This window comes from Homo sapiens, chromosome 6 (assembly GCF_000001405.40).
Source record: "Homo sapiens chromosome 6, GRCh38.p14 Primary Assembly".
Lineage (NCBI taxonomy): Eukaryota > Metazoa > Chordata > Mammalia > Primates > Hominidae > Homo > Homo sapiens.
In genome coordinates, this window is record NC_000006.12 from 131431038 (window position 1) to 131444235 (window position 13198).

The 13198-nt window shown below is 40.4% G+C and overlaps 1 long non-coding RNA gene across 5 annotated transcripts in view; it reads right to left on the minus strand.

The window, feature by feature from the left end:
• The window catches only part of LOC105378005 (uncharacterized), a 92629-nt gene extending 79870 nt beyond the window's left edge, over nt 1-12759 (minus strand). For 2 of the 5 annotated variants that reach the window (XR_007059771.1, XR_007059769.1), the window contains exons 1-2: nt 12329-12759; nt 9093-9187 (exon numbers count right to left, since the gene is read on the minus strand). This is a non-coding gene — a long non-coding RNA (uncharacterized LOC105378005). Of the gene's footprint in view, nt 1-9092; nt 9204-12328 lie in introns of all 5 variants that reach the window. The other 3 variants (XR_001744344.2, XR_942996.3, XR_007059770.1) reach the window with 3 other exon arrangements.
• Between the last annotated feature and the right edge of the window lie 439 nt (nt 12760-13198).

Sequence of the window (13198 nt, forward strand, 5' to 3'; positions counted from 1 at the left end):
TCATCAAAGTTTGAAGTGTGCCTTCCATTGTCTTGGATCTTCAACCCAAATGAAACATAAATAATACTCACCCCTCGAGTATTTTCTTTTGCACAACTGTAGTGGCAACAAAATCCTATTTAATTCATTAATTTGTGTCTGACAGTGCAAGTACTCACTAAATATTTATTGAATATTGAATAAATATGCTAATACAAGCTTTCTATTTGTAGACATTATTTGACAAAGTGGTTATGATGGAAGATGAAGAATTTTTCCTCTGAGACCTTTCAGATTGGGTTGTCATACCAGAAGGGGTTTGGGCTACCTTCCCTGAGACTAATGAACTATAACACGAATGAACTAATGAACCATTACAATTTTTTTTCCACGCTGTGCCTCCAGAACCAACTGCACTAAACTTGTGAAAAACGCCAGAATGTCGCATTTCAGAAGGAGCTCTTTTTGTCTTGCTCTCTCCTGAATTCTATCATCCATTCATTTAGGGCATTGGGAAAATGGATTCAAAGCCCGTCTCATCATTTTTTGTTCCGGCTTCCAGCTGGTAAATAACCCTTCAATCAGTAGGTAAAAGCAAAGCTTCACTTAATAATCAGGTTTCTTCAGACCCATGCTGGAAGACATCAGGCCCTTGGAAGTGTTCTAGTAGACTGAGTGACTCCAGCCAGTGATATTCCTACCTGCAGCTCTCTCTGCAGCCTGAGGAAGAAATAGCTTTGGATAGAACAAAGAGGAAGGGAGGAGGTGGTAGAACTAAAGAGAAGCCATGGAAAGAAATAGCTTTGGATGAAACAAAGAGGAAGTGAGGAGGTGGGTGAACTAAAGAGAAGCAATGGAATGAAATGCAGGATAAATAGTCCTTGAGATAATGGAAGTTCTGGGAGCTATTCAGCTAATGGTTCTGTGGCGTGGCTTTCATCTTTTTCACTTGTGTCACAAGGGAAATCACCTTGTTACAATGACAGCCTCCAAGTCTATTACCAGGCAAGCTATCCCAGAGGTCACAGAACAGAAAGCTTTAAGAACCAAATTAAAATGCTCAAATCGCATGGCTTATGAAGTCCATTTAAAGCTCACAGTGGAAAATGATGGAAAAGAGATGGGGTGAATGAACACATGTAGGACTGAATGCAAGTTGGGTAAAAGAATCACACAATCTGAATTGTAAGTGCTCAGTGTTCATATGTCACCGTTCTCTTTTTCTCTGTGTGCCCATGCATATGGGCAGTGCATTATCCTTCCCAGCTGGTGGTGGTTATAAGGATCAGAGTTGAGGCTCTAGCAAGGGGAACCATAGACAGAAGTTGCCCTGAGACAACCACACACACTTGCTCCATTGAAGAGATGCAGGGACAGGCACTCCTGGCCACAGCTACAACCAATCAGCCTGCTGAACAGCCATGAGTTTTATTCATGCTCCTTGGGCAGAGGACACATGGAGCCAGAATGAGTGTCACCAATGGGTGGCTAAATTATGACTTTATGAATATTAAGTGCTCATGTATGGTGTATCCCAAATATTTAGTGTTTCTCATATATTTAGTCTCACATATATTTAGTTCCTAGGTAACTCATTGATATTAGGTGTCTCTTGATTCTTCCATTTGTCTCAATCTATGTTAGACATCCATACATTCTACTTGCTTACTACTTATACTTAATAAATTCTATGTATCCTACCAATGTCTAGCAAACTTTTTGCTTACTAGTTACTTATCTATACTTAATATTCTTAAATATCGTAGCCTGTTTTACAGACTACAAACTTATTTATCTAACAAAACCAGTCTCAAAAGCAAATGCATGTTAGGATGTATCTTTGATTGTGAAAACTATGTCTTATTCATCTATGTGTTTATGTGTGGCTGTTAGCAACACATACACGATAGAGTAGTCCCCTTTTATCCATGGAGGATATGTTCCAAGACCTCCAGTGGATCCCAGAAACTGTGGGTAGTACCAAATATATATACAACCTATGTATACAGTATCATGTTTTTTTGATCTGATAACCTAGATGGCTAATTAAGTAAGTGATGGGTGCCATCTTTAGAATGGACACCCTGGACAAAGGGATGATTCACATCCCAGGCTGGACGAAGCAGAATGGCATGAGATTTCATCATGCTACTCAAACCGCACAAAATTTACAACTTATGAATTGTTTATTTCTGGAATTTTCCATTTAATATTTTTGACCCACAATTGACTGCAGGTAACTGAAACTGCAGAAAATGAAACCTCAGTTGGGGGAGACTACTGCATATATTTTCTACATAAAAAATAAATAAGATGGGTAGCTGATATGTGTCCCTGCCCATATCTCAATGTCAAATTGTAATCCCCAATATTGGAGGTGGGGCCTGGTGAGAGGTGATTGGATCATGAGGGTGGATTTCTCATGAATGGTTTAACACCATCCCCTTGGTGCTGTTCCCATGATAGTGAATGAGTTCTCATGAGATCTAGTTGTTTAAAAGTGTATGGTACTTCCCCCCTCACTCTCTCTCTTGCTCCTGCTCTGGCCATGTGAGATGCCCACTCCCCCTTTGCCTTCTGCCATGATTGTAAGTTTCCTGAGGCCTCCAAGAGGCAGATGCTACCATGCTTCCTGTATAGCCTGCAGAACTGTGTGCCAATTAACTTTTTTAAATAAATTACCCAGTCTCAAGTATTTCTTTATAGCAATGTGAGAATGGACCACTATAGTAGCTTTTCAAGACAGCTGACTAGGGACATCACATGCTAGTTCTCCTGAGAAGGAAAATCAAAGTTGTGGGTAAATGGTCAAGTTTTGAGTGGAAAATGGAGGGAGGAGAGCCAGAACCTGTTGGAGTCCCCCACATGAAGAGGCTAGGGCATACAGAAATAAAAGTAGCAAAAGTCTGGCTAAGATCAGTCCCCAAGGAACTCAGAGACCCCCGAGGAATTCAGAGCCCAGCAGAAAGGGTAAGCAGGAATGCTTCTCTTCTCCCCTCCCACCTCTGACAATGCTGACTGCTAAACTGTTTGCCCCCCTGACTCAGGGCAACACTATTGCTGGTGATTAGAGATCTTCCTGAGAACAGAGAACCAGGTGGCCAGCTCATGCAGCTGTGCTGCACCCCACCCTCAGACCCAGGCTGAGATAATGTAATGTGAACCATACCAGTTGTGCACATGTGGTGCCAGTGCCCTGCCCAGGGATCCTCCACCCTTGAGCCACTGCATCCCCAGACTACCTGCAGACATACCCCACATCCTGCTCTGACTTTGTCCATTGGGAGTTGTGGGTCCACTGGAGATCTAACTGTCAGTGCAGAATGCCCCTAAAGGAGGGGAATGTGCAGCCCCCACAAAGTCCCACTGGGACAAAGGAAAGGTGGCCATAGTGCCAACCATGGAAGGCGGTACAATCAAAGCCTGGGAACAGACTTGGAGACTTGGCGAGGGGGTCATCTCTTGCCCCTTGCAACCCTCCCCAGTATACTGTTCTCCATGTGAGCTTGTGCTGAAAGAGGATGCTTTTCACGTTTCTCCAGCAGCTTCACCCCTGCTGAAGGCAAGCCGGCACTTACCCTACCACCTACTGAGGGTGAATCTGTGCTAAGAACCTACCTGCTGTATCGTCCTGTTAAGTCCCATCTACTGGAAAACAGCCTGAATTACACCACCAAACAAAAATAAATCGCTACATCGAGAAAGCCACCTCAGGAACCTATCTGCAACCAAGGAGCCTGTACAGAGCTTTGGCCCTCTGACAGCACCCAGAAATGAAGTGAATCAATCATACATAACATACACCACAGTCATACCCTCAAGGGAAAAAAGAATAAAAAATCAAAAAGCCCCATCCGAACAATAGCAAATTCCAAAAAAAAATAAAAAAAAAAAAAAGCATCAGCTCTCTCAGATGAGAAGGAATCAGCACAAGAACTCTGGTAAAACAAAACACCAGTGTTTCATTACCTCCAAAGGTTTACACTAATTACCTAGTAATGTATCCTAATCAGATTGAAATGTGTGAAATGACAGATATAGGATTCAAAATATAGATGGCATGGAAACTCAATGAGACCCAAGAGAAGGTTGTAATACAATATAAAGAAGTTAGAAAAACAATCCAAGATTTGAAAGACAACAAAGCTATATTAAAAGAGAACCAAACGAAACTTCTGGAATTGAAAAATTCACTACAGGAATTTCAAAATGCAGTTGAAAACCTTAAAAACAGAGTAGACTAAGCAGAAGAAAGAATGTCAGAGTTCAAAGACTGGTTCTTCAAATCAAGCCAGTCAGACAAAAATAAAGAAAAAGAATTTAAAAAAGTGAACAAAGCCTTTAAGAAATATGGGATTATGTAAAGTTACCAAACCTAGGTCTTATTGGCATTTCTGAGAGGGAAGAAGAGAAAGTAAGCAACTTGGAAAAATCTTTGAGTTTATAATACAGGGAGATTTCCCCAATCTTGCTAGAGAGATCAACATGCAGATATAAGAAATCTGGAGAACTCTTGCAAGATACTATACAAGACAACCATCCCCGAGGCACATAGTCATCAGACTATCCAAGGTCAATGCAAAAGAAAACATCTTAAAGGCAGCTACAGAAAGGGGCCATATTACCTACAGAGGAAATCCCATCAGACTAACAGCAGACTTCTCAGCAGAAACTTTATAAGCCAGAAGAGATTCAGGGCCTATTTTTAACAATCTTAAAGAATAGAAATGCCAGCCAAGAATTTCATATACTACCAAACTAAGCTTCATAAATGGAGGAGAAATAAAGTATTTCCCACACAGGCAATTGCTAAGGGAATTTGTCACCACCAGACCAGCCCTACAAAAGATGCTTAAGGGAGTTCTAAATATGGAAACCAAAGAATGATACTTGCTATCAAAAAAATGACACCTTTAGTACGTAGCTGACAAGGCTTATAAAGCAACTACACAATTGAGACTACAAAGAAATTAGCTAATAACACTATGACAGGAACAATACCTCACACATCAACATTAACCTTGAATGTAGATGGCTTAAGTGGTCTACTTAAAAGACATAGAGTGGCAAATTGGATAAAAAAGACAAGACCCAACTGATGTCTCCAAGAGACCCATCTCACATGTAATGACATCCATAGGTTCAAAGTAAAGGGATGGAGAAAGATCTTTTATGCAAATGGAAAACAAAAAGGAGGAAGAATCACTATTCTTGTATCAGATAAAACAGACTTTAAACCAAAAACAGCAAAAAAGGACAAAGGGTATTATATAATGAAAAAGTGTTTGATTCAACAAGAAGATTTAACTATCCTAGATATATGTGCACTCAACATTAGAGCACATAGATTTATTAAACAATCACTACTAGACCTAAGAAAAGACTTAGACAACCACACAATAATAGTGGAGGATTTCAACATCCCACTGACAACATTAGACAGATCATTGAGGCAGAAAACTGACAAAGAAATTCTGGACTTAAATTCACCACTTGACCAGTTGGGCCTAATAGACATCTGCAGACTACTCCACCCAACAACCACAGAATATACATTCTTCTCACATGCATAGAGAACAAACTCTAAGATTGACCACATGATGGGTCATAAAGCAAGTCTCAATCAATTAAAAGAAAATAGAAATCATATCAAGCCATCTTCTCAGACCACGGGGGAATAAAAATAGAAATAAATACCAAGAGGAACTCTCAAAACCACACATATACATGGAAACTAAACAACTCGCTCGTGAATGACTTTTGGGTGAATAATGAAGTTAAAGCAGAAATCAAAAAATTCCTTGAAACAAATGAAAATAGAGACACAAGATAACAAAACCTCCAGGATGTGGTAAAGGCAGTGTTAAGAGAAAGTGTTAAATGCCTACATGGAGAAGATAGAAATACTTCAAATTAATAACCTAATGTTGCACATAAAGGAACTTGAAAAACAGGAAAAAACTAAACCCAAAACTTGCAGAAAAAAAATAAGACAGAGAACTAAATGAAATCAAGAATACAAAAAAATACAAAGAATCAATGGAACTAAAAGTTGATTTTTTGAAAAGATAAACAAGATTAGTAGATTGTTTGCTAGATTAACAGAAAAAGAGAGAGAAAATCCAATCAGAAATGACAGAGGTGACATTACAAGCAATCCCACAGAAATACGAAAGATCTCTATGTGCACAAACTAGAAAACCTAGAGGAAATGGATAAGTTTCTGGAAACACACAACCTTCCCAGATTGAACCAGAAAGAAATTGAAACCCTTAACAGACCAATAACAAGTTACAAAACTGAATCAGTAAAAAAAAAAACAAAAAAACCTACCAACTAAAAATAGCCCCAGATGAGGGGGATTCAGAGTTGAATTCTACCAGATTTACAAAGAAGAGCTGGTACCAATTCTGCTGAAACTATTTTAAAAAAACTGAGAAGAGGGATCCCCCCATAACTAATTCTATAAAACCAGTATTATCCTGATACCAAAATCTGGCAAAGATACAACAACAAAAAAGAAAACCACAGGCCAATATCCCTAATGAATATAGACACAATAACCCTCAACAAAATATAAACAAACTGAATCCAACACCACATCTAAAAGATAATTCATCATGATCAAGTGGATTTTATCCCAGGAATGCAAGCACGGTTCAACATGCACAAATCAATAAACATGATACATCAACGGAATGGATACAAACCATATGATCATCTCAAAATGAGATGCAGTAAAAAACATTCAATAAAATCAAACATCCGTTTATGATAAAAACCCTCCACAAACTAGGCATCAAAGAAACATACCTCAAAATAATAAGAGCCATCTATGACAAACCCACAGCCAACATCACGTTGAATGGGCAAATCTTGAAACCATTCTCCCTAAAAATGAAGAAGACAAGGATGTCCACTCTCACTACTCCTATTCAACATACTTCTGGAAGTCCTAGCCAGAGCAATCAATTAACAGAAAGAAATAAAAGGCATCTAACTAGGAAAAGAGGAAGTCAAATCACCTGTCTTTACTGATGACATGATTCGTACCTAGGAAACACTAAAGATTACACCAAAAGACTCCCAGACCTGATAAATGACATCAGGATACAAAATCAATGTACTAAAATTAGTAGCATTTCTATACACCAGTGATGTTCAAGCAGAGAACCAAATCAAGAATGTAATCTCATTTACAACAGTCACACACATGCAGAAAATACCTAGGAATATATCTAACCAAGGAGGTAAAAGATAGCTACAAGAAGAACCACAAAACACTGCTAAAAGAAATCATAGATGGCACAAAATATGGAAAACATCCCATGCTTGTGGATGAAAAGAATCTATATCATTAAAATGGCTATACTGCCCAAAGCAATCTACAGACTTAATGCTTTCCTATTAAATTACCAATGTCATTAATCACAGAACTATCAAAAAACTATTCCAAAATTCATATGGAACAACAACAACAAAAAAGCTCAAATAGTCAAAGCAATCCAAAGCAAAAAGAAGAAACCCAGAGGCATCACATTACCTGACTTCAAACAATACTACAAGACTACAATAACCAAAACAGCATGGTACTGGTACAAAAATAGACACATAGACCAAATGGAACAGAATAGAGAACCCAGAGATAAAGCCACACACCTACATCCAACTGATTTTTGACAACATCAATAAAAGTAAACAATGGGGAAATGACATTCTATTCAATAAATGGTGCTAGTACAGCTGACTAAACATATGCAGAAGAATGAAATTGGACACTTACCTCTAATCATATACAAAAATTAACTCGAGGTGGATTAAAGACTTAAATGTAAGACCTCAAACTATAAAAATACTAGGAGAAAACCTAGAAAATACTCTTCCGGAGATTGGCCTAGGCAAAAAAATTATGACTGAGTCTTCAAAAGCAAATGCAACAAAAATAAAAATTGACCTAATTAAACTAAAGAGCTTCTGCATAGCAAAATAAACTATCAATGGAGTAAATTGACAACCTAGAGAATGAGAGAAAATATTTGCAAACTATTCATCTGATAAAGGACTAATATCCATAATTTGTAAGGAACTTAAATCAACAAGAAAAAAACAACCCAATTAAAAAGCGGGTAAAGGACATAAACAGACACTTTGCAAAAGAAGACACACATGCAGCCAACAAACATGAAAAAATATTCAATATCACGAATTATCAGAGAAATGCAAATCAAAACCACAATGAGATACCATCTCACACCTGTCATAATGACTATAAATAAAAAGACAGAATATAATAGATGTTGGCCAGGTTGCAGAGAAAAGGGAATGCTTATACACTGCTGGTGGGAATGTAAATTAGTTAAGTCCGTGGAAAGCAATTTGGAGATTTCCCCAAGAACTAAAAATAGAATTACCATTCAACCTAGCAATCTCCTTACTGGGTGTATATCCAAAGGAAAATAAATCATTCTACCAAAAAGATACCTGCACTTGCATGTTTATTGCAGCATTATTCACAATAGCAAAGACATGGAATCAACCTAGGTGCCCATTGATGGTGGATTGGATAAAGAAAATGTGGTACATATACACCATGGAATACTACATAACCATAAACAAGAATGAAATCATGTTCTTTGCAGCAACATGGATGCCGTTGGAGGCCAATATTCTAAGTGAATGAACAGAGAAACAGAAAACCAAATACCACATGTTCTCACTTATAAGTGAGAGCTAAACATGGGTACACATAGATGTAAAAATGAAAACAATAGACACTGGGGACTCCAAAAGGGGGAAGGAAGGGAAGGGGCTAAGGTTGAAAACTACCTATTGGGTACTTTGTTCATTCTTTGGGTGATGGGTTCAAAAGAAGCTCAAACGCAGCATCACACAACATATCTATGTAACAAACCAGCACATGTACCCCTGAATCTAAATTTTTTAAAAAGATACTAATGGACAGCATTCCCAGGTTTAATAATCATAATAATAAATGAATTTCATTGTCATCCCTACATGTCCACTACTTCAAAGATAGCAAAAATGAATCAAGCAGGCTGTTTTTTCTGTAAGTTAATAAGCTCAAAATTTAGTGGCTTAGAGTGGCTATGTACCTATGATTCGGCGAGGTGATTTTGCTCAGCTGATCCCTGCTGGGCGTGCTCATGCACCTGCAGTCATCTGGAAGGTCAGCGGGAGGATGGATGGTCTAGGATGGAAAGAAGCTGAGTAACAAAACCCGAGGAGGGAAAAGATGTAGCTTAGTACAATCATTCCTGAGCTACATTTTTTTTCCATTAAAAAAAGTCAAATCATCTCTCTTTACTGATGACATGATTCATACCTAGGAGACACTAAAGATTACACCAAAAGACTCCCACACCTGACAAATGACATCAGGATACAAAATCAGTGGGGTTGATTATCCCCACTGCATCTACTTTGACAGGCCAATTTTTCCTCTTTTTTATTCTGGGAAAAATAAAATGTATCTTATAATGAATTACTACAACCTTAACACCGTGGTCTCAACCACCAAGGCCCTCATACTCAATACCCTCATATTATTAAAATTACTGCTATTCAATCAATAACTGGTGAATATTTTGCTGTTATAGATTTGGCCAGCTTGTTCTGTTCAGTGCCTGTTTCAACAGTCTCTTAGCTGCAGTTTGCCTTTAGCTCTGAAGAGATACAATGTGGTACACCTTTTCTAGGCTACCCATGGGTACTTCAACAGCTTTGTCATGCACAGTCTTTGCCGATAAGATCTCAATGGGATCCACCTTCTGTGGGAACACAGGTAGACGTTACAGTATGTTGACAGCATCCTCCTCCAAGGAGACTCAGTTGCCACACTCATTAAGAACATAGCCAGGAGCGGTGGCTCACGCCTATAATCCCAGCACTTTGGGAGGCCGAGGCGGGCAGATCACGAGGTCAAGAGATCAAGACCATCCTGGCCAACATGGTGAAACCCCGTCTCTACTAAAAACACAAAAATTAGCTGGGCGCGGTGGTGTGTGCCTGTAGTCCCAGCTACTCAGGAGGCTGAGGCAGGAGAATCACTTGAACCTGGGATGCGGAGGTTGCAGTGAGCCAAGATTGTGCCATTGCACTCTGGCCTGGTGACAGAGTGAGACTCTGTCTCAAAACAACAACAACAACAATAACAACAACAACAACAGAATGTATAAATTCAATATCTTTTAGTACCTTTTAGGTTCTGGTGGCAATATATTTTCATTTATAAATTTTATTTGCAAATTAAAATCAACAGGCACTCTTGTTAGTGCCCTTAGAAGCTCCTTCACTATAGAGGCTTTGGCAACCTCTCTTCATGCCTCTGGACCCCTTATGATGGCCATTTGATGACCCAAGACTTCTGATATGAGAAATTATCCCTTTCAGCCTTGTGCTATACATCATTAAAACAACAAATGCCTGGCTATCTACTGGGCTGTCTTAAAAATAGAGGCTGTCACAGACCCTAAATCTGTGACTCTCTAAACTAAGCTACTCCCTATGCTTTTCATCATGGCAACAGCACCTCACAAGCTCAGCACTGGAACTGAGACCTCCTCAGGACAGGATGGAGCTGAACCTGGGCCCTCTGGTACATTCCACCTGCAGGAGATGGTGGCTTCCACTGTCATCAGTCCCTTGCCAGATGCCAGATGCTGAAGGAGGTTGTTCCTCCCCTAGGCCCCTTGACTACTTGGGATTAACTGAGTGAATAGTAATGGGAGTTCACAGACTATGTGAAAGCGTGGTTCACCATCATACATAACGGAGCTTGTTGAAATGTTGCTGCTTTCCATCTCTTAGCCAGGATGTCCCTAATAAAAGACGGGACCCAAGAAATAACACTCTTGGCCAGACTTCAGGCAGTCGTCTTAGTACTGGGTGTCTTGATCAACAAATAGTCCCATTTTCAGCTATTATCAACTATTTGTATATAGTTTATTATCAGTGATTGGCCCATAACCTAAAAATTCTCCCCTTCAAGGTAAAAAACTCTAGAAACCTCTTGCCTTATAGATACTCAAAACATGAAGCAAAATCATGTTCCCTCACATACTAAAGCCACAATACAAGGCCTTGCCAAAAACACACCTCATTCCCTTCAGATATACAGACATTACTGGTAGTAACCAAGACATGCATTTTACTTCTTAAAATACGCAATGCTGGGCATCTGAAGGAGGCATTTGACAGAATACTTATGTTGCTAATAGGCCCCAAATAGGTGCTTTAACTGAGAGACATAAGGATGTCTTCAAACAACTCCTTTTCAAATTCCAGTCCAACATTACCCCTGAAGTGCTCTATGTTGCGCCAGGCTTTAAGCTACTTATAATTACATTTTCAATCTTTCCCCCTTCTCACTAGAGCTGGAGGCCAGTTTGGGGGCACATACACTCCAGGGACTGCTGAACTGTTGTCCCACAGGCCAGGCTGCTGCCCATCTGATATGGAACCCTGCAGAATGTAAACTTCCACCCCCCACAAAAGCCCTGTCAGGTGCAGCACAGACCCCACTAGTGACCTCTTACTACTGGTTTGGGGGGTTTTTAGTTTACAACCCAGAGGCCCACATCAACTCAAGTGGGTACCCACTTGAAAAGGACACTGTAGTCACACATCTCAGATGACATCTCTCTGGCCTGAAATCTCAGTGCTGGAGATGACTTCGCTCCCTGCCTGCATGCCAAGCCCACTTCACCCAGACACTAAAACCTCCACCCAGTTATGCCCATGGGCCTCCTCTCCTAAGGCACAACACAAGCACAAAACATTTTTTGTTTTTCCTTCCTGAACTCGCTGCTTAGCCCATGATCCTAGTGTTTTCCTTGCTCTCTGTTCAAATGTACACCCCTATAATTCTATACCTAAAGAGAAATCTGGTACATGTTAAATTAATGGAGATTATTGCTTTCCCCAGAAGGCATCTGCCTCCCAAAGTGCTGGGATTAAAGGTGTGAGCCCCCATGCCTGGCTGGGGCTACAGTTTATAGGTGCTCTCTAGACACCTCAGCACCAACTTAGAAAGAAAAAACACAGCAGTAGTACACCCTCAAGAAGGGTTATAAACAGGGGCAACAGAAAGTGAGGGCTTAGAGGAGAGCGTAAGGCAGAGAGAAAGAAGAAGCGTTAAAGAGCAAGGCAGAACCTCTTGGGCCCAGGCAGTGAGGCCTCCCTAGGCAGCGTGTATGGTGCCTGCATGCCCCAACCCTGGGATTGCTCAGTGTTCCCCTGCAATGACCTTCTTTATTCCCTTCTGAATGCCATCATCCATCCATTGAGGGCATTTAAGGCCTTGGGAAAATGGATTCAAAACCTGACTCACCATTTTTGTTCTGGCTTCCAGATGCTCAAAAACCCTCCAATCAGTAGGTAAACGGGAAGTTTTGCTTCAACAATCAGGCTCCTTCAGACCCCTGCTGGAAGAAATCAGGACCTTTGAAGGTCTCCAAGTGTTGGTTTGCAGGAAATTCATCTTCTGGTCCAAGGGAGGCAAACACATAGTCTTGGGACCTGGGAGTGGGTAATCTCTGCCTCCACCGGAGGGAGGTAGGTTTTGGTGGCTACTGACCAAGGAGGACTAACTACCTGCAAGCCACTCTCCTCCTGGAGAGACAGAAAACTGATTCCCACTCCACCACACTTAGAATGGATGCAAAGCCCTTACTGTGCCAAAACATCCACATGACTGCTGTCTCCAGCCCCTCTACCCCGCTCGGCCACTCTGCCTGCCTCAGTCTTGTCACTTGCTGTTCTCTCTACCAGGAAATGACTTCACCATATCTGTGCAGGGCTCACTCTCTCACTTCCTTTAGGTCTTTGTTGTAAGATTGCATCCTCAGAGTCCTTCCCTGATCATCCTCCTTACATAGCTCACAGCTCCCCTACCAACCCCTGCTGTATTTCAGTGCGCCTATCTCTGCCTCATATGTTAATTTTTGTTTGTCTATTTGCTTATTTTCTGGGCCTTCCACCTGAGAGTAAACTTCAAGAAGGCAGGAAGTTTATCCACTGCCTTCCCCAGCATCTTGAACACTTAAATATTCAAGATGCTCTCTAAATATTTATTGAATTAATGAATATCATTCTGTTTGCTCTTCCTTTGTTTGTATCAGTTGATGTATGTCGCAGGCACAGACATCTGATAATGTGACTTAAGAGCTGAATGTGGGAAAGTCTTATAACTTAAACTTGG